The 25,972-nt window shown below is 46.9% G+C and overlaps 1 protein-coding gene and 1 long non-coding RNA gene across 18 annotated transcripts in view; one reads left to right on the top strand and one right to left on the bottom strand.

The window, feature by feature from the left end:
• DOCK1 (dedicator of cytokinesis 1) overlaps window positions 7,140-25,972 on the bottom strand; it is a 547,089-nt gene continuing 528,256 nt past the window's right edge. For all 16 annotated transcript variants that reach the window (NM_001377544.1, NM_001290223.2, NM_001377546.1 and 13 more), the window contains 4 exons: window positions 20,431-20,629; window positions 15,377-15,530; window positions 12,111-12,262; window positions 7,140-8,324 (listed from right to left, as the gene is read on the bottom strand). In NM_001377544.1, the coding sequence (NP_001364473.1) occupies window positions 8,229-8,324; window positions 12,111-12,262; window positions 15,377-15,530; window positions 20,431-20,629 (601 nt within the window). In that variant the 3' untranslated portion in view covers window positions 7,140-8,228. The remainder of the gene's footprint in view (window positions 8,325-12,110; window positions 12,263-15,376; window positions 15,531-20,430; window positions 20,630-25,972) is intronic.
• Window positions 17,554-19,583, top strand: LOC124902524 (uncharacterized). Of its 2 annotated transcripts, none has more exons than XR_007062337.1 (2): window positions 17,554-17,654; window positions 19,220-19,583. It is a non-coding gene; the product is annotated as an uncharacterized LOC124902524 (long non-coding RNA). The 2 variants fall into 2 exon arrangements; XR_007062338.1 differs by lacking the exon at window positions 17,554-17,654 and adding an exon at window positions 18,228-18,296.

The raw sequence follows: 25,972 nt of genomic DNA, 5'->3' as shown, positions 1-25,972 counted from the left end.
GAGGATTGTAAATGCACCAATCAGCACTCTGTAAAAACACACCAATCAGCACTCTGTGCCTAGCTAAAGGTTTGTAAATGCACCAATCAGCACTCTGTAAAAACGCACCAATCAGCACTCTACGTCTAGCTAAAGGATTGTAAACGCACCAATTGGCATTCTGTAAAAACGCAACAATCAGCGCTCTGTAAAATGGACCAATCAGCACTCTGTAAAATAGACCAATTAGCAGGATGTGGGTGGCACCAATCAGCGCTCTATGTCTAGCTAAAGGATTGTAAACGCACCAATTGGCATTCTGTAAAAACGCAACAATCAGCGCTCTGTAAAATGGACCAATCAGCACTCTGTAAAATAGACCAATTAGCAGGATGTGGGTGGGGCCAAATAAGGGAATAAAAGCTGGCCACCCGAACCAGCAGTGGCAGCTGGGGGTCAGCTTCCACCCTGTGGAAGCCTGTTGTTTAGCTCTTTGCAATAAATCTTGCTGCTGCTCACTCTTTGGGTCTGCACTACCTTTATGAGCTGTAACACTCACTGTGAGGGTTTGTGGCTTCACTCCTGAAGTCAGCGAGACCGCAAACCCACGGGGAGAAACAAATAACTCTGGATGCACCACATTTAAGAGCTGTAACACTCACTGAGAAGGTCTGCGGCTTCACTCCTGAAGTGAGCAAGACCAAGAAGCCACCAGAAGGAACCAATTCCGGACACACAGTGGGGGGGTGAGGAGATCCTATGGCCGCACCTTCTACTTTCTGCAGCCCACTGCAGGGGGAGCACTCCCTCCCACCTGGCCCTCACCTGAGGAAGGCTGGTCATCTCTTCCTCCTCCTGCCTTTGTCATGAAACTCAAGCTCTTCTAGAGGACAAGGCCATGGCATGCCCTGGCCAAGCTCCCTGCCCTCAGTGCCATCCACTGGCTCTTCCCCCGACCCTCCTTCACCTCCTGCTTCTGTTTTGCAGATATTCCCAGGTCAGTCCAAGCCCAGGCAAGGCCTGTGTGCCTGCTCTTTCTCCACCCTGTACCCTGGATTCTCACTGAGCTCACAGGTCTCTGCTGAAGTCTCCCAGCCTCAGGGAGGACCCCTGGAAGGGGAGGTGAGCCCTGCCCTTCGGATGACTACCCTGTCTCACCCCTTCTAGTTCTAATGGTCATGTGGAATGGCCTTACTTGGTTCCTTGAATATTGCCTGTCGTCTCCTGGAGGAACTTTGGAGACGTTTGTCCTGCCCACCTCGGTACCAAGTCTGAACCGGGCTGGGCTTGGCAGGGACTCTGTAAACATTTAGTATAGACAAGAAAACACTGCCCTTACTGTGGCCTGCCCAATGCTCCTGAGATAGGGACTCACTTTTCCCTCCTTTGGGCTCCATGTGGAGCCTTGATTGTTCTAGCAGCACAGAGGTGGCTGCTGGCTAGAGTCCCCGCCTCCTGTTACAGTGGCACTGTGCCTGTAAACTGTTTTTGCAAAATCCAGCATGTAGGCATGGCCTGAAGGCTTTGTCAGAGAAGCAAGTGAAATGATATCATTATTCCCTGCGGAAAAAAAGTATTTCTAGCGTGGAAAAGGAATGGCGTTCTGCACAAGTACAATATGGGTCATTCTCCCCCACCCCGCTCAGAGTAAGTTGGAACTAAGTTGCCTGCCTGGTACCGCACTATCCCCAATGGCTCAGTGTTCCTTCTCTTTAAATGATAACATCCTTCTACATAGCCAGAGTACAACCAACACAGTAAAGAAATGAACACTGAGATATCTCCGTCGTCCAATCCTCAGACTCCATTCAAGGTTTGCCAGTTGTCCCAATACGTCCAATGTAGAGAACATCCAGCTCCAAATTACAAGTTGCGTTTACTTGTCGTGTCTCTTTAGTCACCTGTAGTGAGGACTAGGTCATTCATGGCCTTGACCCTTTCCAAGATTATAGGCCATTAAAAAAAAATAACAGCTTTATTAAGATATAATTAATTCAATAATCATAAACTTCACCCCTTTAAAGGGTGCAATTCAATGGTGTTTAGTTTTGTCATATAGTTGGGTACTATCACCATAATCTGATTTTAGACCATTTTGATCATCCGAAGGAAAAATCCTGTACCCGTTAGCAGTTATTCGTCCCAGCACCTGACCAACACTAATCTACTTCCCAGCTCTGTGAGGTTGCCTCTTCTGGACATTTCATGTAAATGGAATCATATATGAAGGGTCAGTTTCATAGAATGCCTCCAAATTTAAGTCTGGCTGATGTTTTCTTGTGATTTCATTCTGATTATGCATCTTTGGTAGGAATATTGCAGAGCTGATGTGTTCTCAGAGCATCAGTACTGTGGTGGTGGGGGGAGCATGTAATTTTAATTTGTCCCAACACTGATGATGTTCTCTTTTATTTCTTGATTAAGGTGGTATCTGCCAGTCTTTTCCACTATGAAATTGTTTTTCCCTTTGTAATTAGTGTTTTGTGGGAAGACACTTTGAAATTATGTAGATATCCTGTTCTTCATTAAACATTCAATTTATTCATTTATTGATTTATATCCGCATGGACTTACAGAAAAGGCCTACTTCATTCAACTGCTTTAAAATTTGTTACTGTCATCATTGATTTTGATGCTCAAATTGTCCCAGATGTGGGCCATCACATAGAAGCCACTTCATATGGGCCCCAATGTCTTTTTGAAGTGTGGCCCTTATTTCTTGAACACTTCCTTGTATTCTGGTACAAAATGTTCTAGGCTGTCTTGTATTCCCAGACCAGAGTCAGCCATATTTCTTTTCTTTCTTTTTTTTTTTTTTTTTTTTTTTTTGAGATGGAGTCTCGCTCTTTCACCCAGGCTGGAGTGCAGTGGCACGATCTCAGCTCACTGCAAGCTCCACCTCCCTCCGGGTTCACGCCATTCTCCTGCCTCGGCCTCCCAAGTAGCTGGGACTACAGGCGCTCACCACCACGCCCAGCTAATTTTTTGTATTTTTAATAGAGACGGGGTTTCACCGTGTTAGCCAGGATGATCTTTCTTAAAGAAGCCTTGGTTTGTTTGATTGGAGAATGGTATTTAGAAGCCAAAGAAGAGATGGAATTAAGCACTTCCCCAAAGTGAAAAGAAACATTAGTTAGTAGCAACAGCTTAAACCCGGGTGCCAACAGTTGAACAAAGTGACAGGACAGGAAGGAGATAAGGAGATAGTGCTCTGGGGCTAGACAAAGGCATGGAGCCCTTCCTAGTGGCAGGAGGGCAGCATGGCCACTGGAGTCTGCACGGCAAATTCCGGAGTCTCATGTTGCAGATGAAGCACGTCAAAAAAGGAAAGGCCAGCAGAGCTGCGTGGGCGGCCTGGAGAAGCTGGTTCAGGACCAGCTCCCAAGCCACCTGCCAAGGGCCAGGGGAACGAGGACAGGCTCACCCAAGAGCTCAGCATGAGAGGCTGCAACACGGGGAAGCCACAGAGCCGTGACCAAGGCAAACTGAGATGAAGGGTAGGTCACGGTGGCAACCTCACAATGGTTTACCAGGAAAATGAAATTCTGTTTGGAATTTAAACAGGGAAACCCTGAGCATACAAAGTAGCTTCCTACAGATGAAACAGCCCTGGAAAATGAAGGACAACCCAAGGGGGATGGAAGGAGAAAGGGGGAGAGGGAGGGAGAGAGAGAGAGAGAGAGAGAGAGGAGAGAATGCCCAGCCAGCTGCAGTGAAGCAGTGTGCCAGGCGCGTGAAGGACGCCATCTTGGATGTTCCAGCCTCAAGACACCATGACAAGGTGGCAGCAGATATTATGACGTGACCCACAGAGACACTCATGACTGGAGAGGATAAGTGGCTTGCTTGGGGGTCTCTAGATTCTTGGATTCTACTCCAGGTATCCCTAAAGTCACCTGTTTCTGCCAAATACCACTTTATGAGAGGAGGTTTGCTATGGTCTGTCCTTTGTCAGAGCGTGTGTGTGTGTGTGTGTATACAGAGAGATTTAAGGAATTGGCTCAGCCATTGTAGGGGCTGGCAAGTCCAAAATTTGTAGGGCAAGCCAGCAGGCTAGGAAGTCAGGCAGGAGCTGATGCTGCGGTCTTGAGGCAGAATTCCTTCCTCTCCAGGAAACTCTAGTTTTTGTTCTTAAGGCCTCTTCAACGCATGGGATGAGGCTGACCCACATTATCAAGGGTCACCTCCTTTATGTAAGGTCAACTGATGATAGATGTTAACCACATCTACAAAATACGTTCACAGCAACACTTACAGTTGCTTTGATTAACTGGCTACTGCCGTCCAGCCAGGTGGACACTTAAGACCACATCAGAACTCTTTTGTCCGGGGCTGAAACTAACCCAGGAGGTTTGCCACACATCAGACATCCAGGGAGTCCTCACTCCCCTCTCCAGCTAGTGACACTGCACTCAGGCCACTGTACAACCTGGAGGAGCAGAGGTTTCCTCGTGTGTGGGAGACAAATAGGGCAGAACAACTCTAGCTTGTTTGGGTACAAAGGCTTATTGGCCTACAGGTTCCCTATTTTTTTGAGCCATCATCAATGAAACAGTAGATGTTTAAATAATTCTGAAAAGGCAGATTGCCAAAAAGTGTGGTGGCAGAAGTTCCCAAACAGACTTTAAAAAGTTAAGTAAAATATTAAAAAGTAATTAGAGATGGAACTAAAAAGCAAAAATGAAAATCCATTAAACCAACAAAGAGTTCTGTGGACATGAAACAAAGTCCAATAACATAAAAGAATCCAGAGCAGAAGATAATGAAATCTGTAAGAAATTTAAACGATCAAATCTTTGCATGAAAGAATAATCTTAAAATTGATTAAAAAATAATTTCTTTAAATACTAGGAAGCAATCTTCAAGCACCAAGGGTGGTTTTCAAGTAAGAAAAAGACTTTTCCATTTATAAAATACAGTTTATATACTAACTACTTTGAATAAAGATTTGATGAAAGTGCATATGAAACTAGGTAGTTAAAGTAAAGATGGATTTTTAATAGTCCAGAAAGCTTTTGGAAGGCAGGAGAATAAAACGAAAATTTAACTGAACGTGTGAGGGCAAAATTTGGCTTTGAGCATCCTGGAAACCAGAGCAAAAGTAGAGCCTAAGAAGCTCACAATTCCTGCTTTGGAGCATGAGTCTGCAAAAAGGCAGTATCACCCCCTGAAAACTGGTACTTGGGAAACAAACAAACAAAAAATCTTATTTTTTTAATGTAAAAAAGCATAGGTATACATAAAGTACATAATAGATATGCAGTATATAGTCTAAGTGATACACAGTATGGCTGTACTATTAAAATTTCATCATAAGAGTGATGGAGGGAAAAAAATGTCTAAAAAGGCTCCTTGAAAGGTAATTGTGAAAACAAAAAAAAAGGTTAAGAAATAGTGTTTCTGTGTAGAAGGGATATGTCCCCGCATGTACAGAGGCAAACCTTCCCCTGGATCCACATTCCAGAAGGAATGCATGTAGCAGGCACTGTGCGCAGAGGCCGGTTTGTCTCTGATTATTGTGTTGCAGCCCATCCACGGATTTACAAGCTGAGGAAATGTTGCATCTGCATGAAACGTTTGAGAAGTTTACTCACTGGTGAATATATTAGCATATTTGTAATTCATATTAATAAATAGGAAATGTCTGCAACCTTTTGGCTGTCTTCACTTTTCTTTAACTCTGTTCTGTGTTCTCTGCAAACCTCCCAGCTCTAGAGATCCCCGACGGATATAAGGTCCTTGGGGGGTTGTGGGGCGGGGATTCCAGCCAGGGTTGTGCAGCGCGAGGATTAACCCGGTAGATGGGGGAAGAGCAGGAGCCCACACGTCATTCCACAAGAAAACCATCATTTATCACAGGGCCAGGCACTATTCTTTCTGTGTTTTTATTTTTTTATAAATACAATTATATTTTATATCATTTTATAAATTTTATAATTTTTATTTTTTATAAATACAATTATATTTATAAAAATAAATACTTTTATTTTATTTTTATAGATGGAGATAGAGACGGAGACAGATTTCTCGCTCTTGTCGCCCAGGCTGGAGTGCAATGGTGCAATCTCAGCTACTGCAACCTCTGCCTCCCAGGTTCAAACAATTCTCCTGCCTCAGCCTACCGGATGGCAGGCGCTTGCCACCATGCCCGGCCAATTTTTGTATTTTTAGTAGAGATGGGGTTTCACCGTGTTGGCCAGGCTGGTCTTGAACTCCTGACCTCAGCTGATCCGCCCGCCTCAGCCTCCCAAAGTGCTGGGATTACAGGTGTGAGCCACTGCGCCCGGCCTATTCTTTCCGTTTCTGGTGGCCGCTTATACAATGTGAGGCACAGACTGCCCAAAAACAACCTGTCCCCAGGCTGGGCTCTCCGTGGTCGCCTACATGGGTGTGCCCATTCGATGATTTCTAGGGTTGTGGATAATATTCAGTTTCTCACACACTCGACAGAAGATGAATATTTATCTTGGTGCAACAGTTGAAACAGTAAAGATTCTTGAAGAAAAAAATCCCACATTCACACAGGCCTACAGTTTCTCAGGGGTGGACTGGATATTTACAAGCATGAATACGCTGGGGACAGCACCTGAGTAGGAGGAAGAGCCTCCCAGCTTCCTGGGCTCCACAGCAGCCTCCTTCTAGGCCGGGTTAGATGGGCAGAGGGCACATCCTTATGGCTTCCACACGTCTGGCAGGAGCAGAGGTGAGAGCCCCGTCCATTGAGAAGAGAACCCCCTGCCTTCCTTGTTTCTTGCCACCCCAGATCCAGCCAGATAGGCCCTGGAGAAAGCTCTCCATGTCCAGACCTCTACAGCTAAATCACACACCCATTAACCAAAGCCCTTTCTTAAATTAGCAGCTGAAAAGAGGCCCACATGATCTGCAGCCCCACAGCCCTCTGGCTTTGGTGATGGGGAAGCACTCAGCTGGTCTCTGCTTAGCTCCTGTCTATCAGGACATGCAGCCATGCACGGGACACGGGCACTTCCCATCTGGGCTCCAGATCAGACACAATTAACAGAGAGGATTAAAAACAATGTTGGAGGAAGAGGTGCATATATAAATGTGTGTCACCAAGCACTTTAACATAGCAGAACAGAAACAGCAGCGTCTGTATTTTACAATCAAGGATGAAAACATAATTGGTCAGACACTGTGAGTCTTTTAAAATAACATTTTATTTTTCGTTGTCAATGATTAACTTTTAAGTCTATTAGAAGAGTATCATGATTATAGTGAATAAAAAAATATAGATGAGAGAATACAAATATTAGGTTATACAAAGTTAGTTTTTTAAAAATCATTGTCCACCAAAATTTTCAGGACTTTGGAGTTCTCAAAAAAAAAATGTGTGTGTGTGTGTGTGTGTGTTTTAACACTTCCAGCAGTTAAAAATTAAGAACACATATGGATAATCATTGGTGGACGCCTATTATAATAAACGGAAGGACCACAAAAATTAAAACAAGTTCTAAGAACCATCATATATACAAATTTCTGTACAGAATGAGGACAAAAACAATTCACCCAATTAAAACCAGCTCTTGTGGTACACATACTCTTTTTCAGAAAAGAACGAACACTTATCTTCCTGTATTCATTTGTTTTTCCATTTGATTCAGTATTCTTAATGCTGTTTCCACCCCATAAATTAGTAACTGTTCAATAGCTGAGAAATATCCTATTTTCAATTATGCAGGGGAAATCAGGAGCTTCCCTGGAGGGGTTGAACTTCATGGTCTGATGTAGGTTGGAGACACACCTCAACCAACGAAGTCACACCACCGGCTGGAACAAGGAGGGGCTGGATACAACATCCCATGACAGTGAGGAGGATTCTTATACATCATCACTACACAGCTTCCTAAGAGTGATGGCCTAGCCTCTCCTACTTGGCTGAGCTCAGAGCAATTGAGCTCTTTGCAAATGCAAGTCATTTGGCACAAAAAGAAAGAATGTTTGGGCAAGACTCAGACTCTCTCAGAGCCAGACACACTCAGAGGCCCCCAACTCTGATAACTACGATAGCACATCCCGGACCCATATCTACCTCCCAGACCCACCTTGCTCCATGACGCTAAAGGCCACTCACTCCATGGTGAGAACTGAACTCCTTTGAAGAAAAAGCAGTCGCACGAAATGTTAACATCACAGGCCCAATGAGGTAAACAGCAGACTCAGGGGACACAGAAGGAGAGGGCATGGAGATGGGGAGGGGCAGCACACTCTTTCCAGAGAGGCTTGCGACGTCACTGCACGATCCCGGAGTCCACCGATGCCTGCTTGCGAGTTGTCTTTGGAGGGGGAGGAGGCGGAGTTTTGCTGGGCAGTGGAGGTGGCAGATGCTAAAAAACATGAGGATGGGGAAGATGTCACATAACTGATGTCCTGACAGAAAAGACACCGTCTCCAGGTGGGGTCTGACCTGGCACAGCCACTCAGCCGGAACCATCCTCCCCACATGAGTTGGGCTCCATCCTGTCCGACTTGGGGCTGGCAGGTCTACTAGGCTCAAGACTGGGCTGCTATGGGCCTGGGCCTTTCTGACGCCTCTGAGCACTCTCCCACCGTCTGCACAGCCCCTGAGAGGTACCATTGCCCTTTGCGTGGCCTTTTTAAATCTAGATGCTATCGACCAAGTTATCCATCTATTGTCTAAGGGATAAATAAGTCCTTAGAGGCACTCTCCAGGGGTGAGATGAGAGACCTTCTTTTGCTTTCTGAGCTTCGGGCAAAGGTTAGCAAGCTTCTCCTGGAAAGGGCTAGACAGTACATATTTCCAGCTTTTTGGCAGGCCACACGGTCTCTGTTGCAGCCACTCAATGCCACTGGTGTGGCCGAAAAGCGGTCATTGACAGTGTGTACAGAAAGGGGTGTGGCTGTGTTCCAAGAAAACTATTCACAGAAACAGGTGGCTGGCTGGCTGGCTTCAGCTCATGGGCATATATTACTTTAGATTCCAAAAAAGAACATTAATTTCCAATGTGAAGATAATAGCAAACCCCTTGCTGATGGACCTGGCTGGAGTGTTATGACTGAGGGCAGCTGCACCCTATTGCTTTTGGGACCCTCATGCCCATCACACACACCTGATGTGCAGGAGACTCTCTAGAAATATGGGTCAATCGAATAGAAAAATGGATGAATGAGTGAATAAATGAATGAGTGAATAAACGAGTCAGTGGATAAATGAAGAAATGAACAGGTAAGTAAACAAATGAATGAAGAAGTGAACAGACCAGGGTAAGTGGGAGCATGCCACAGGCAGAAGAACCAGAATGAAATCACAGAACACTATCGTCTAACTTAAGGGTAAGAGTGGATTTTTATCAGCCTCTCAGTGTGGGTTTGCATTTAGCTGAATGTGAGAAAAGAGGTTTTCAAGGATAGACAGTGACGCAGTAGTCTCTCACTCATCGCCCAGATTTCCTCCTGATTCACAGACTAGTAAATACAAAAATGACCTAATGCTTAACACAGAGAGGAGAATAAATGTGGAAAAGTAAAGCTGATATAAAGATGTCCTATGAGTGTATGACCTTATATTAAGGAAGGTAAAACAACAATTAAGTCTTTTTAAGGTTGGTTAGAACCGTTAAAAGAGACATCTATTTTGAGGTCTGATGAAACTGTTTGTTTACATGTGAAAGCCACACTCACTGATAGGCCAATGAGGAGCAGGTAAGGACCACACTAACACAGCCTGATACCAACACAGCGCTGCAAATGACCTCTATGCCAAGTATGAGCATGTCAAAAGTTTATCACCATTAAGCAAAATGATTAATGGTGATAAACTCAGTAAGCTCAGATTACTGACAGGAAGAGCCATTTGGAAAGAAATGACAGCTTAGTGGCAACAACTAAAGACAGAGTTGCCTACAAGCCTGAGGCTGATCAATGAGAGTGACAGGAGGATATTGATCACACCCCCATCATGGCAGATGGATGATCATTATCCTAGAACAGCTCTCAGGGCCTGTGCAAAGGGAGGCACCCCAGGAAATGCAACCGCTTCTGCCTAATGATGACATACTAACCACCAGCGTGTCACCTGAGCATGCACTCAGGCTGCAAGTAAATTAAACAAGAAACAAAGACCAAAGACACCTGGGTCATTAATCTAATTGAATTCACACGCCCTTTATCAATTGAGAGAGAGCTAATCCATGTTATCCCTTACTTAATCAACTGTATGTGGCATCAGTAACCCACAATGGTGTATCCAAGAAATTGAGACAATAAAATGTTACCCCGGAGTTGATTTGTAACAAGAAGAGGAATTGGCTGTAATTCTAAGTTTAGAATTTTCAGTTTACTAGTGTAGGGAGACTAGGGGGAACATTCCTGCCTTTGCAATAAAATAGAGAGAAGAGAATGTGACCAATTAACGAAGCTGTTAGGGAAACAATACTCCAAGCAACCCAATATTCTTGTTAGACCCCCCCGAATCTCCTTTTACTCTCACAAGTAGTTAGAAATGGCCGGGGAAGGTCCGGCTTCCATTTCTGTGGTGCAACAAACCATTCCAGCCTGCCAGAAAGCCCTCTTCACAGGGGAACCTGGTGCCTCCTCCAGGACCGGTTCCCCATCGAGGCGTCTCTAGGGAGAGGGAGCCTGTTTAAATGGCACTTGGGTCTCAGAAGAGCAATCTGCCTCTTTGATATTAAAGATGACTGCTTGTTTAGTTTTCTGATACAAAGGGAATGATGAAATACGTATGCTGTACACAAACACCCTCTCTCTTCCACTCCTCTCATAAGGGATGTAATGACCTTGTGGAACACTCCGTCAACGAGTCTCCATTAAAAAAAAAGAAAAAGAAATGGCACGTGGGATTTATATTGTTTATTAAAGAAAAATAAAAAAAAAAACCATGTCTCACCATTATGAAAAAAACAGAGCCACCCAACAATCTCATGTTTTCAATGTTCTACAGGAGTTTTGCGGCCATATAATTACTTCACTAAGGCTGGATAGCAAAAAAAATACGGCCAGCTGTCCACATATGAAGAGGGATATTTTACCCTTCAGACACCACTGATTTAATTGTCAAAGGCTGTGAATAACATGGCCTGGGGAGGCCTGAGCCTAGAAGCAGAAGTTCCCGCCGTGGCTGAGTCAATCGCTCGCCCGCCTCCATCCCACTCATGCTGCCCTCCACACATGCCTGGGCCCGACATGAGGATGGGGCTGGGACCCGCAGGGATGAGTGACGCCTGACAGCATCCTTGAGAACCAGGAGAGGAACGGGGTGGATCTCAAAAGAATGTTTCTAGAACTGTCAACTGGTAACTGAGGTGCTTGTTTAAATGGCTTTTCATGACTTTGACTAATATTTGTACGGGCAGGCAGGCCCAGGGGCTGTTTGGCACAAGGCACTTTGGGTGGCATGAATGACTAAAACAGCTGCTGGGGGGTACCAGCTTCAGGGACTCACGCTGAAGAGGGGTTCCAGCAGGTTGCTTAGGCTTACAAAGGCCAGTGCTGCTGGAGGAAGCCAGGTCAGCACCCCCGAACTAGCACTGGGGAGGGTGCCCAGGGGTGGGGGCACAGTGAGGATGACTGTGCCCAGGAGCCAAACCTGGCTGTCCTCTGCAGTCTCCGTAAGGTGAGTGCCTGTCACCACCCAGGAGCTCCCAGCACCAGGTGAGGCTGCCTGGAGGGATGTTTGGAGACAAGCTTCTCCAGGGCCAAGCAGGTGTACAACAGGTGCCTGCCATACAGGGCGATATTGGCCAACCTCTTTAAAAAGTCAGACCTCTTGATAGAAAAGCTACTTCTCAAAAATCAAAATGTCATTAGAATTGCATCTCCAGTGGAATGATCTCCATGGTGATGATAACCGATGACAACCTTGGAATGTCTATCCTCTTCCTCGTTCTGAGGCATGATATCAAAATGTGCTTTTTGATGCAGTTATTGATAATGACGCAGAGCCACAGATCTTACCCACTGGAGTCCTTACTGCTTCGATATCTTTTTGCAAAATCAAACCCGGGCCCATCATACATGGTTTTCCTCATGTGCTCACTAGCCCGAAGTAAACCTGCTAGTATCTGGAATGAGGGACTCGTCCTACTTTGTGGAGGCGAAGCAATGAAAGCCTGTGTTTCAGATTGCCGACTTACCCTCTGGTGTGGAGGGGGAGGTGGAGGTGTTGGCGAGCCCAGCAAGTCCTGGTTTTCCATCAAATTCCCGTAATCTGCCACGCTGCCTTTGAGAGGCAGAGGGGGTGGGACATCGGCCACGTCCGCCCCCGTCATGCCGTTCAGCTCCAAGCCTGGAAAACCGGGATCTATTTAAAATCAGCCCGACTTCCCCACGGAGCCTGAATGCTCAGGGAGCTGCTCCACGTTCCCTCCCAGAGAGGCAGGCACAGCAGAAACACTTCATCTGGCAGAAAACGTTTGTCAACAGAGCAGATGAGGGCAGGGAGGGAGCGAACACAAAGGGTGGGACCCTCTCCTAACGGCAATGTTCTAGAAAGAGAATAGCAAGTATCACACGAACACTAAAACTGGAGTGTGAAGCAAGGCATCGAGCCACTGTAGAAAGGGTGATGTTCACCCCGGCCTCTTCTGTCCCTGCTCGGGCCCCCTGCCTCGGTGGAAGTTAAACAGCTGGGTGCCACAGGACCGTCTCCGCTGCTGCTGCTACTGCTTTCGAAGCCAAGCCAGGCCCCTGCAGTCACCCCTGCAGTTATCACCTGGAGAGATTCACTAAGCAAAGTCTAACACGCCGACCAGCCACCCAGCTTCCCATCTCTTTCCACAGGAAAATCCACAGTCGTATGACATGAAGTCATTAGCCATAGCAGTCACTGTGGCTGTTGCTTTAAATAAGCCAAGGGGAAGTACAATTGATTTTTAAAGTAAACTGGAAAAAATAGCCGTTTTCAAACGGAGGAATAATCATTAAGGCAGGATATTTTCTCAAACCTTGTTGAGACTCTTAAAGATAATTTGTTTTCTTTTATATTAAAGAGAGAAAAATGGACATTTTTACTGATGAGTCTCTTTTGGAGTTTTCCCCTAGGATTCATCTGATGAAAAATCCTTTATTAGGAAAATGCATGCTAGGAAGGCCACACTGTAAGCTTATAAGGAAGCTCTGCCATGGGGCTGAGGGAAATACGAAGGCTTCGGTGAGTGACTGTCCTCATGATTGCTGCCTACTTCTTTGCTATTATTGTGGTAAGATATACACGACATAAAATTTGCCATTTTAGCCATCCTTTAGGGGACAATTTGGTGGCATTAATCACATCGACCGTGGGGGATAACCATCACCATGATGTATTTCTGAAACATTTCCATCACCCCAAACGGAATTCTGTACCCATTAAACAGTAACTCTCCACTCCTCTCTCCCGCCCCTAGTATCCTCTATTCTACTTTCTTTTTTTTTTTCTTTTCTTTTTGTTTGGGATGGAGTCTCGCTGTGTCGCCCAGGCTGGAGTGCAGTGGTGCGATCTCAGCTCACTGCAACCTCCGCCTCCCAGGTTCAAGTGATTCTCCTGCCTCAGCCTTCTGAGTAGCTGAGATTATAGGCACGCACCACCACACCCAGCTAATTATTGTATTTTTAGTAGAGACGGGGTTTTACCATGTTGACTGGCTGGTCTCGAACTCCTGACCTCAGCTGATCCACCCACCTCGAACTCCCAAAGTGCTGGGATGACAGGCGTGAGCCATGCCTTTCTGTCTCTATGAACTTGCCTTAGATATTTGATTTAGGTGGAGTCATATAATATTTGTCCCTTTGTGACTGATCTATTTCACTCAGCATCATGGTTCTGAGGTTCGTCCGTGCTGTAGCACGTGTCAGAACTTCACTCCTTTCTACGGCTGGGTAATATTCCATTGCACGGACATTTCTTTGGACGTACATTTTGTTAATCTGGCCATCAGTTGATGGACATTTGGCCTGTGTTTGCTTACTGGCTCTTGAAAAATACTGCTATGAATATTAAGTATCTGTTTGAGTCCCTGTCTTCAATTCTTTGGAGTACAGGCCTAGAAGCAGGACTGCCAGTTGATATTATAGGTTTATTCTACATTGAACTTTGGAGGAACCACTAAATTGTTTTCCGCAGCAGCAGTGATGGTGTCTGTTTTCAATATTAAAATAGATTTTAAACACATTTTTAGAAAGATCATGTAGTAATAGTGCAAGGATGTGAAGATGCACCCTCCAAAGACATATCCAGTGCCCAGAAAGCTCTTTGCCTACTCAATTAGACTCACGCATCCACTCCTGCAGCCAGCCTCCCCACCCACTGACAGTCTCCAGAATCATGACTGCTCCCCTTTCAGCAAGAGGAAAATCAGGAGCAGAGGACAATCACTCACTGCCTTGCACAGCCCTCGCCACAGGGCACAGAGCTCTCCTGCCTGGGACCCCTCTCTGTGCCACAGGAAGGAGAGTGGGCTCCCCGGTTCTGCTGCCGTCCCCATCCTCAGCACCTTCTCCCTGCCAAGATTTCTCCTCTCTGCTGGCTCTGAATCTAGTGGTGAAAAGCTGTCTGCCACTTAGAGTAAGTTGAGTAGAGTCTCTCCAAAATGTAGACCTCTTAGGGCCACCCAGAACCTCAGAATGTACCTTATTTGGATGTAGGGTCTTTGCAGATGTAATTAGTGAAGGATCTCAAGGTGAGATCATCCTGGATTTGCAGTGGACCCTATATCCAATGACTGATGTCCTTGTAAGAAGAGAGGACACCGAGAAGGAGGCCACGTGGAGACAGGGGCAGAGAGGGGAGTGATGTGGCCACAAGCCAAGGAGGGCTAGGGACTGCTGGGAGCCACCAGAAGCTGGAGGGAGGCCCGGGACAGGCTCTCCCTTGGAGCCACCAGAGGGAACCAACTTGCTACCTCCTTGATTTCAGAGTTTTGGCCTCCAAAACCTTCAGAGAACAAATTTCTGCTGTTTGGAGCCACCAGTTTTGTGGGAACTTCTAGGGTAATTTAAACATTGGTCAAAACTAGAAAAATAAGCTGTGCCCCTTAGCTGTTGCCAACTGCCTGAAGGTGCTTCTCCAGTGCACAGTCCTAGACACAAGCAGGCCCACGGCCTCCTGCAGCTCTGCGTCCTGGGATAGAAAGTGTGGTGGTTCCACGTGCTTCACAGGTCCCCTCCACATGGACCCTGGGACAGACCCTGCACTTTCTGCCCCTCCAGTGCTGGAGACCTGGGCTCTGGATTTTGGCCTGATTTGCGGAAGTCCAGACTCTACAGCCTGTCCCAGGGGACACTCCCAGGGAGCCAGGTGTTTATCTAAACTCCCACCCTCTGCTGCAAGGGGAGGGAGGAAGCGCTTCTAACCTCAGAGCCTTCAGTGAGGGGAAGTCACGGAGCTATAGCACGATTCGTATGTGGGGAGCGTTCCACTTACTCGACTGCATGCTGAAGCTGAGCTTGGCCCTTGGTGTAACTGGAGGGGGTGTTTGCTGGGAGGACGGTGACGAGGGGGACACCGAGAAGCGCCTTTCGCTTCCAATGACGTTCATCACCTGGCTCTTCGGTCTCTGGGGCCGCAGGGGACTTATCTACATCAAAAGGACAGAAAGAGCACAGTTACGGTCTGTTATGGGCTGAGTTGCGTTTCCACCTAAATTCCTATGTTGAAGTCCTGACCCCCATTACCTTAGAATATGACCTTAACTGGAAATAGGGTCTTTGCAAATGATCAAGCTAAGGTGTGGCTCTTAGGGTGGGCCTGTTAGAGTGGGCAGATAGTAAGACATGAAAAGGAATGGGGGACCGGGGGAGGAAACTCTGGAAAACCTTATGCCCCAGAGACCCCCCAAAACACACATGCTAGGTGTGAGCAGAGGGGAGGAGAATACCTAGGCAGGAGGCAGCATCCTGAAACACCCCATAAGACACCCAGTAATTGCTCCCTCTGTAGCTAACGTGTGACAATGTAACTAGCTACATGCTGATCAGGAGGGAAACAGGGCAAGGGATGAATGCCTAAGAGATACACACACACAGTATGTACAGATTTGACCACTGTATGACCTTCTTGGGGTGGCGGTAATGAGCAATGCCGCCATTAGGTAGGTTCCTACTGATCACTGAGCCCCACGTGTGCACATCAACTAGCAGCAAGGGAGAGCCCCACAAACCTGGGCAGGAACTAGGCAGGGAAAAGGTGGAGACTTAAGACAGAGCAGGGAAAACAGACAAAGACAAAGGGAGAGGCTTAAGACAGAGGTGGGAGCTTAAAACAGTCCAATATAAAAACCACAACACAGAACTCCTGGGGGCTGCTCTCCACAGGGTCAGCCTGCTCCTCTCCCAGAGTCCATGCTACTTTTATTTCCTTAATAAGCCTACTTTACCTACTTTACTAATTGGTCTCTTGGCTGAATTCTTTCCTCTAAGAAGACTAAGAACCAAGGACCTGCACACTTCCCAGTAACAGGTCCAATTCCAACAGGACAGGTGACCTTATGAAAAAGGGAAATCTGGACATGGACGTGTCCAAATTTGGGAGGGCACAACGTGAAGATGAAAGCAGAGGTCAGGGTGATGCTTCTATCAGCCAAGAAACACCAGAGATGGCAGCAAACCCCCAGACAGGAGGAGAGAGGCATGTGTAGACTCTCCCTCACAGCCTCTGAAGGAATCAGCCCTGCCGACGCCTCTAGAACTGGGAGACAATGAGTTTCTGGGGTTGGAGCCGCCCAGCATGTGGTTACAGCAGACCTCCCCCACACGAGGGGCTGGCACTGCTGTCCTCACACAGCCTGGGCTGGACAGCACATCGCAGGTGACCTGAATATAGATGCAAAAGTGGCTGAGTATTATTGCAAGACATGCAGATAGCCAGCAAGGACACACGGGGCAACATCCGTGCGGTCAAGAACAAAATCAATGGCCTGTTCCATGGCAGAATTATTCCCAGCTGTGCTCAGCATGCTTTGGTCTCCTTGGCGTGTACCTGAAAGTCTAGGAATTGGCTGAAGGATTTTTGCTATTCCTTTCCTTTGCTTCTTCTCTCATCCTAGGTCATTACTGGGCAGGGATTCTTTTTCTCTCCTTTTCAATGCATTTTTTCCTGCTCATCTCTGGCTTTTGGAGGCACTTGACTTTCCCCCACCTAAGCCCTTTCCCTGTTTGTTCCATCAGTAAGTTGTATTTACATATTTCTTACAGGTTGGTCTCAGATCATCAGGCTTTGGGGAACAGGAGCAGTTACAAAATACTCTGACGCAGGAGTAATTAGAAAACGTATTAACCCAGCCAAAAAGGAGGGGTCAACGTTCTCCCCCAAGGAAGGGCAGGCAGGTGAGTGGGCAGCTCTGGGCTTGGGGCTGCGGCTGGGTCTGGGGGCCTGGTGGATGCGCTGTGCTGGTTTGGGTGAGCAACAGAGCACATAGGCTTCAATGTCTGCCCCAGGAGGAGTCAGCTGTGCCAGGGCCAGTCTGGAGGTTACTGAGGCTGGAAGGAGGAAATGGGAACTAGGCTTGGGAGGAAGATTCAGGCCCTCTGGTAAATGAGTGACAGAGCCAGGCCAACAGGTCTATTTCCAGAACTGTCCTGTGCTGTCGGGGGAGCCAAGCGCCCAGGAGCTGCACCTCCTCTGAAGAAATGGCCTTGTTCCAGGCAGCAAAACTGCTGTGGGAAGTCAGGAAAGGCCGGGTGAAGCGCTGGGCTCTCTGAAGGTGAATGTGCTGGCAAGAGAGATTTGGGGTCTCCTAAGGTGCTTCTCCTGGCCTCCCTGCATCCCAGGGAGGGCACATTCTGACTCAGAGAGCTGAGGAGGCTGGACTGCTGAGATGCAAATCACAGCCTGGAGGCTCTGGCTGGAGAGGCTCAGCTAAAGGTCAGGAAATTGTTGATGATGCAAATCAAGTAGGAAACCGAACCCAGCCACAGGGGTGAGGAGGGAAAACCTTTGCAGAAGCTGGGGTGCAGGGGAGGCCCGCAGGGGGGAAGGGCAAGGAGGACACTACAGTGGGGGTGGTGGGGGGGTGGCTGGTGTTGTCCCCAGGGAATGGGTTGCTGCTTCTGTTCCTGTGAACCTCCTCCCCCGCACCTCCCCTCCTGCGCATGGCTGGTCACTGGCACGCAGCCGCCTGCTAGGAAACTTCAGGTGTCTGACTGTCCTCACAGACCTTGCCGGCACCCGTCCCCTGGAGGAGGTGCCCTCTGCGTAGACAGACAGGTTGCTGGGCTGGACCAAGAATAGTAAGCCTGTCCCCCAGTGGGAGGTTCGGATTCTCCGCCTCCTGGTGCTGGAAGGTTCAAGCTGACACTGGGCCAGATGCTGAGAAGCACCGCCAAGGTTCTGTGCTCTGACCTTGGTGAGTTCCTGTGGATTTGCTGAGGGTGCTAGGGCCAGCCGTGGGGAGGCAGCCCTCGTGGGGCTGCCCCTAGCCCTGCTGCTTGCAAGGACCCTAGAAGGATGCTTGGGCCACCAAGGGCAGGGACAGAAGATGCACTGTGCTGGCTCTGTGCCTGTCACGTGTGTGCTTGTGTCCTTGGACTTCTTTTCACACAAGTCAGCTGTGATCAATTCTGCCACTTGGCACAACTGCTCCGAGGCCCTCCAATTTAGCATCTTAAAACGGAGCTTAAATTAAAATGTATGAAAGACTTGCACAGTGTCTGGCACTAAGTAATATTCAAAAATGCTTCTGTTCATTCCCCTACCCAGCTATAATGTTTTGAGACTTGAGAAATCTACCTGGGGCTTAAGAGATGGAGACTTCAGCCAGCCTCTGGGGTGGTGGGCATCTCAACTTTCCAGAATAGCAGACAGAGCATGCTGTGTGGTCAGGAACCCCTCAATCTGCTGGACGCTGAGCGTCTGGGTACTTCAGGCCAGCCTCCAGCCAGTGCCCCCCTGGTCTGACATCCTCGGCCACCCTCATGGGAATTCTCCAGCCCAGCTGCAGCCACAGCACCTACCCACAGGCCGCAGAGCAGCGCTGGCCTGTTGGACGTCAAGTCATGGCTGGGGCGTTTGCCTTCCACCTCTAGATAGCCAGGTAGCATGTGACTGCTTTCTGAGTGGCATGAAGTATAGATAAAACGTACCTTCTGGGTTTTAAGTTATAAACAAGCAGTGCAGTATGTCTAACCCTCTAATCACAGCCCGCCGACGCCCAGGGCTGAGACAAGCAGACACCCACCCATTTCCAGGGAGGGCGGCTCCAATCCTGACTTCACCTTTGATGCTGACAGCCCATGAGAACTCCTTCTTTATTTTTGTTTCCCACTACAGCTAGCACTTTTGGAATCAAGTTCGCCCTGGAAGTGGGCTGTGCCTCATCTTCGCACTCAGACTCTGATACAGCTCGGATATCTGTCCTCTCCAACTCTCATGTTGAAATGTTGGGGGTGCGGCCAGTGGGAGGCATCTGGGTCCTGGGAGCAGATCTCTCGTGAAGGGCTTGGTGCTGTCCTTGCAGTAATGGGGGTAATGAGTGGGTCCTCATTCTATCAGTTCATGTGAGACCTAGTTATTTAAAAGAGCCTGGAACACACCCCCCACCCCCCACCCATACTCTCTTTCTCACCATGTGACACGCCTGCTCCCCTCCCCTGCCTTCAGCCAAGAATAAAAGCCTCCTGAGGCCTCACCAGAAGCCAAGCAGATGCTAGTGCTGTGCTCGTACAGCCTGCAGAACCATGAGCCAAATCAACCTCTTCATAAATGACGCAGGCTCAGTTATTCCTTTGCAGTAACACAAAACAGACGAACACAGATTCCCAATGTGGTGCACTTCTGGGAGGATCAGCCCTCAGGCCCAGCCCCAGGATGAGAGCCGGCTCCTGGGTTTCACCGCCCTCACACGCCCACGACTGTGGAATGAACGAGACTCACTGGGACCCGTCTTCAAGGTCAGCTCAGCAGTACGGGTCATGTGAAGTCCCTGTTAAGTCCTTGTGAAAGACGGCCAGGAGATTTAAAGGTGGAGCAGATGAGACAGAGCAGGATACCCCAGGACTGGGTCCAGCTTCTGGGGCCCGGTGGGAAGAGGTCTTTGGATTCTAGTTCCGCTGATTTTAACACTTGGGCCGTAACTAGCTTAGAAGAGTTCCAGTCAGCAAGGGGCAAGGGGAAGGCATTAGCGGACACCAAGGACTGTTTCCTGACAACAAAAGGACTCCTGCTCATCTTCTGGGATATTAGGACATGTGTAGGAAACAAGTCCAACAGAGCGGCAGAGCCTAGCAGCAGAGCGGCCTCGCCCCAGGCCCTGCGGAAGGGGGACAAATGCTAAGCCCACCTTCCTCCAGGTCTCTCTGTGGCTCTGGCTGTCCTACTGCCTTGGGACATTTGAGGTTAGGGGAGGAGGACCCCAGGTTTCTGAGTTGCTAATTTATAACAAGTTCAATAAGAGCCCACCGTCAGCCCTGTTGGCTACAGGTGGGGCAAAGGTAGGTCCCTGAAGCTACCGCAGAGCGAGGAAAGATACCCTGTCGGGTTACCGTTTCCGAAAGGATCACAGCCTCAGACTGCTGCAGGGAAATGTCGGTGGGTTTAAATTCTTTCTCAAATATCTCTTGATGTTTGCTGTTCCTTTTTTCCTTCTTCTTGTCCTTCTTCTCCTTCTCCAGGTCATCCTTGTCCAGCTTGTCCTGGGACCTGGAGTGCATTTTCTTTGGCAGGAGAGGCTCCAGGGCAAACCTAAAGGAAAGGTCAATGACGTCTTAATAGGAGAGCAATTGCTTTCCAGCCCACAGACACGTGTAAAGTCACTCACAATCCATCGAAGACATTTACAATGAAAGCAGTGATTTAAAAGGGAGGCCAAGGGTGACTTCAGATACACAGTCACCAGATGCAAGGACTGTGTTTCAATCCCAACACAGATAAACTGGAAAAAGATAGAACACTTAGCACGATAGGGCAAATGTGAAGTCTGACCGGATATTTGATGATGATATTAAGGAATTGTTCATTTACGATGGGAGGATGGTATTTAGGGCATATTTCAAAAGGGGAACCCTCGTCTTTTAGAGATTTATATAGAAATATTTTGTCTATTTTTTAATGGGGAAAAATAGACGTCAATGCAAAGAAATGTCTGCTACCTTGATCCTGACCAAGGCTCTATGATTACAGATAGACGGTTGTTTTCAGGTGAAAGCACTTTGCATGGCTCAGTCAGAAGCAAGCCAGGGCCAGCTCACAGGTGCTTGGAGATGCCCTGAGGTTTCCAGCCAGCAACTAAGCTGGAGACAGAAGACCTGCATTCTAGGTCTGCCACTGTGGGTGACTCTTGATGTCCTCGTAACCTCTGGCAGCTGTCTCACTTATAAAAGGGTATAAAGACACCACCACCCTTCTGCCTACCCCACAGTTGCTGTAAAGACACATTCGTGGTTATACCATGGAGTAAATGAATCTTAGGCTAGTGTCTAAGGCATGTACCAAAAGGTTAGTGTGCAAGCATATCCACACATGATTGTGATTTGTCACTCCAACACAAGATTGGCATGTCCATCCTGTTTCTGGTCCTAGAAGTCCTATCAGGAGGTGGAAGAAATGGATCCAACTCTAAGACTGGAGTCTCATCCCTAGCAGCTCCTGCTGTGAGGAGGAGTCAGGAGAGATGGTTGAATGGATGAAGGCATGGGCCCGCCTGAAAAACCATATAGCATAACTCACGTGGAAGGCAGTGCTGTTACTAGGATCTTACATTTTCAAAATACAGCCTGCTCTTTGGAGCTCTGAGCCTCACAGCAACTTCCAAACCTGACTTCCTTGACCGCCTGGAGAAGCAATTGGCTTCTTCAAGGGGAGCATGATTTCAAGAGAAGATAATTTAGCCAGCCAGTCATATTTTCATCCTAGCTCTAGTTTCTTTTACATGTATTTCTGAATGGGACACTTGGAAGAAAGCCACTGTTCTCATTAAGAAGGCCATTGCAGGGCCGGGCATGGTGGCTCATGCCTATAATCCTAGCACTTGGGGAGGCTAAGGCAGGTGGATCATTTGAGCTCAGGAGTTCGAGACCAGCCTGGCCAACATGGCAAGATCCAGTCTCGATAAAACGTACAAAAATTAGCTGGGCATGGTGGTGTGCACCTATAGTCCCAGCTACTCAGGAGGCTGAGGTGGCAGGATGGCTTGAGCCTGGGAGGTAGAAATTGCAGTGAGCCAAGACTGTGCCATTGCACAGCCTGGGTGACAGAGCCAGATCCTGTCTCAAAAAAAAAAAAAAAAAAAAAGATGGTCATTGCAGCAATCTTGCTCCCCATTGATTTGCTCACTGTTGATTATTTCCATGTTGTGTGTCCCATAATGGGGAGTAAGATGAACCAGGAAGGGAAGGATCATTTGCAAAACTGCGCTTAAATCTGCTGAAGATGCAGACTACCCAGAGCAAGGACCACCACCTATTCTTTGCTTCTCTCATCTAATATGGCTGTGCAGTAGGATCTGCTGCAGGTCACTATGTAAACAATAATGGTATTGAATCTAAGCACTGATTATCAATAGCTGTTAACATCTCCATAAGAGAGAGAACAGGTTATGATGTGCCTCTGAATGGAAGAACACACAAGTACCTATGAAGTCATCTTGTCCCTAAATCAAATCTGAATCTGATCAAATCGCTAGATTCAACCACCAATATGCAGGGAATATGGAGAATCGAGACGCGAATTAAACAATGCGATAGGGCACGCTATCAGCAGAGTCCTGATGGTGGGGACCATGACAGGATACACAACCTAGGATTTCCCACAAATAAATTACAAGGGAGAAAAGGGGACTAAAAGAGACTTAAAGAGATAATATCAACCAAGTGCAAGGTACAAGGTGGGAACCTTATTTGGATTTTGCCTCAAACTAAAAAAAAAGACATGACAATGGGAAATTAACACTCATGTATTATTATAATATGGAATTCCTGTCAATATTTTTGGTGTGAAATAAACTATATTACTATAGTTTATATAATATAACCGAGTTATGGTTTTAAAAAAGAGTTTAAATTAGAAATTCATAGTGAAATAGCTATAGATAAAATATGATATTTGAGATTTGCTGGAAAATATGATTGATACAGATTGAAAAAAAAAGATTAGTTAAAAGCTGATAATTGTCAAGACTGCATGATGGGGCATGGGGGCCTCATTACACTGTTTGGCCCACTTTGTACATATCTGAAATGTTTCTTTTTTTCTGAAACAGAGTCTCACTCTGTTGCCCAGGCTGGAGTGCAGTGGTTCAATCATGGCTCACTACAGCCACAACCTCTCCAGGTTCAGGTGATCCTCCCACCTCAGCCTCCCAGGTAGCTGAGACTACAGGCATGCACCACCACACCCAGCTAATTTTTATATTTTTTTGTAGAGATGGGGTTTTGTTATGTTGCCTAGGCTGGTCTTGAACTCCAGAGCTCAAGCAATCCACCTGCCTCAGCCTCCCAAAGTGCTGGGATTTTAGGCATGAGCCACTGTACTCAGCTTTGACATTTTTCTATACTAAAATGCTTAAAAAATTTAAACTGATTGATAAAATATACCAATATTGACTTAGATCATTAAGGCATTTTGGGACATCTGGACTTTTCACACTGGATATACAATACATCCATATCCATTAGGTGAGAAATATTTTATCTATTATAAGCAACAACCAAACATTTCATGATTTTATTCTAGGTTTAGCAGAACTTGAGATAATGTAGGTAAGAAAAGGATTAGTAGATGCTGTTTAGCTCAGGGAGAAGACCCGGGTTGTGAAATCCTGATGCGTATACAAAGAACCCAGAGAAAGGCAGGTGGAGTTTTAAATTTTCATATTACGAGAAGCAACTGCCTACAGGATGAACTTTATTCTGCATGTAACCTGTGCCATTTGAGACCAAAGCCTCATTTTCTCCACATTAGTTAGCTAGCAAAGGGTGGTAACCCCAAGAATGAACACAAATCTGGACTGTAATAAAGACGCCTTCCAGTTAAAGGTTAAACAAATGCCTTCTGGGGAAGAGCCAGCAGCCTGAGCTCACATGTGCAATTCACCACTCTTCTGTCTAAAACCTCTCCATTAATTTCCACCCTAACCCCTATGTTCCTAGAAATATAAAAACCTTTCCATAACCAGTCCGGGGATTTTCTCGGGGAGAAGTTGAATTAAATTTCTTTAGCAATCTTGCTGTAAGTGACAAGCACACATGATTTAAATACCTCTAAATTGAGAATTTCCATATGGACTTGGCCTTATAAATATCAGACGCTGATAAAAATTACTGTTAAGAAAAAATATGGGGATAGTTTGCAATTCTCCATCGGGCACATCAGTCGTTGGCAACAAAGGGCAATCCGAGTTGAGCCGTCCCTTGGGGCTCTCTGGAAGTTTGTTTCTGTGTGTTGAGGGGGCCAGATGCCTGTGGGTTTGATAGGGTGATGGATTGTAAACAAAATGGGATTGGACACACAAACAACTGTACAAATCAGCAGTAAAACAATTAGAGGTTCTTCTGTGTTGTTTAAATTGCATGCAACATTTTTTTCTTTTTGTAGAAGAACAAACTTTACATGCTTGCCGCTCAAAAATACAAAAAAATACCAATGTTGCAGTTCTCTTTGCAATAACCTGAGCTAATGCCAGAGCCACAGTGTGTGCTCAATAAATGTTAACTATTGGGTACTCAAGAGCAAAAATGCATCTCCAAAGTGGCCTTGTACAAAGAAGGTGGCCCATGAGTATTTAGAATAGTCAAAATCATAGTGATAGAAAGTGGACGTTGGCCAGGCGCGGTGGCTCACACCTGTAATCCCAGCATTTTGGGAGGCCGAGGCGGGCGGATCATGAGGTCAGGAGATCGAGACCATCCTGGCTAATATGGTGAAACCCCGTCTCTACTAAATATACAAAGAATTGGCCAGGCATGGTGGCATGTGCCTGTAGGCCCAGCTACTTGGGAGGCTGAGGCAAAAGAATTGTTTGAACCTGGGAGGCGGAGGTTGCAGTGAGCCGAGATCGTGCCACTGCACTCAGCCTGGGCGACAGAGGGAGACTCCGTCTCAAAAAAAAAAAAAAAGAAAGTAGACATTGTCAGGGTGTCAGGGGTGGGGGGAAAGAATGCAAAGTTAGTGTTTAATCAATATGGGAGGTAAAGAGTGGGGAATTGTTGTTAAATGGGTACAGAGTTTCAGTTTGGCAATATTAAAGAGTTCTGGAGGTGGATGGTGGTCATGGCTGCACAGCGATGTGAACGTACGCAATGCCACCGAACTGTTCACTTACAAATGGTTATGATCGCTTGAGCTTGGGAAGTGGAGGCTGCAGTGAGCTGTGATCACACCACTGCATTCCAGCCTGGGTGGCAGAGTGAGAGTCTGCCTCAAAAACAAAATTTTTTAAAAAGGATAATATGCCTTTTATTTTCCAGAGTTGTCCTAAAAAGTAGGGACAGATGGTCATTCTCAGAAGCATTCACTTAAACACCATTTCCCTTTAAAAGGCAATAAACCTCAGCAGAAACAAAAATAAACAAAACATTTGCTCTCCAAAAAAATGAGGAAGGGAGGAAAAGAAAAAAAAAAAAGAAGGCCCGGCCATCCATCATGAAAGCCTGACTCTGTGACAGTTGGCTTGGCAGAATGGTGTCACAGGGGGACAGTGGAGGTTGTGTCATGGTCAGACCACACCAGCTCCTGTCCGGGCACAACACCCTGGAGGTGAACAGGAGATGAAAAGTACAAAGTGCTTGGCCAGCCCGGACTGCACCTTGCTTTTTCCCAGGGGTGCCCAATCTTTTGGCTTCCCTGAGCCACATTAGAAGAAGAAGAATTGTCTTGGGCCACACATGAAATACACTAACACTAACAATAGCTGATGAGCTATTAAAAAAAAAAAAAGAAGAAATCACAAAAACAATCTCATACTGTTTTAAGGAGTTTATGGATTGGTGTTGGGCCACATTCAAAGCCATCCTGGGCTGCATGTGGCCCGTGGGCCGCGGGTGGACAAGCTTGTTCTAAGCCATGCTGAAGAGGACTGAACACTCACTG

The sequence above is a fragment of the Homo sapiens genome, chromosome 10 (genome assembly GCF_000001405.40).
Source record: "Homo sapiens chromosome 10, GRCh38.p14 Primary Assembly".
NCBI classification, from domain to species: domain Eukaryota; kingdom Metazoa; phylum Chordata; class Mammalia; order Primates; family Hominidae; genus Homo; species Homo sapiens.
Note: the sequence above shows the minus strand (reverse complement) of the source record. Positions and strands in the feature narration are given on the sequence as shown.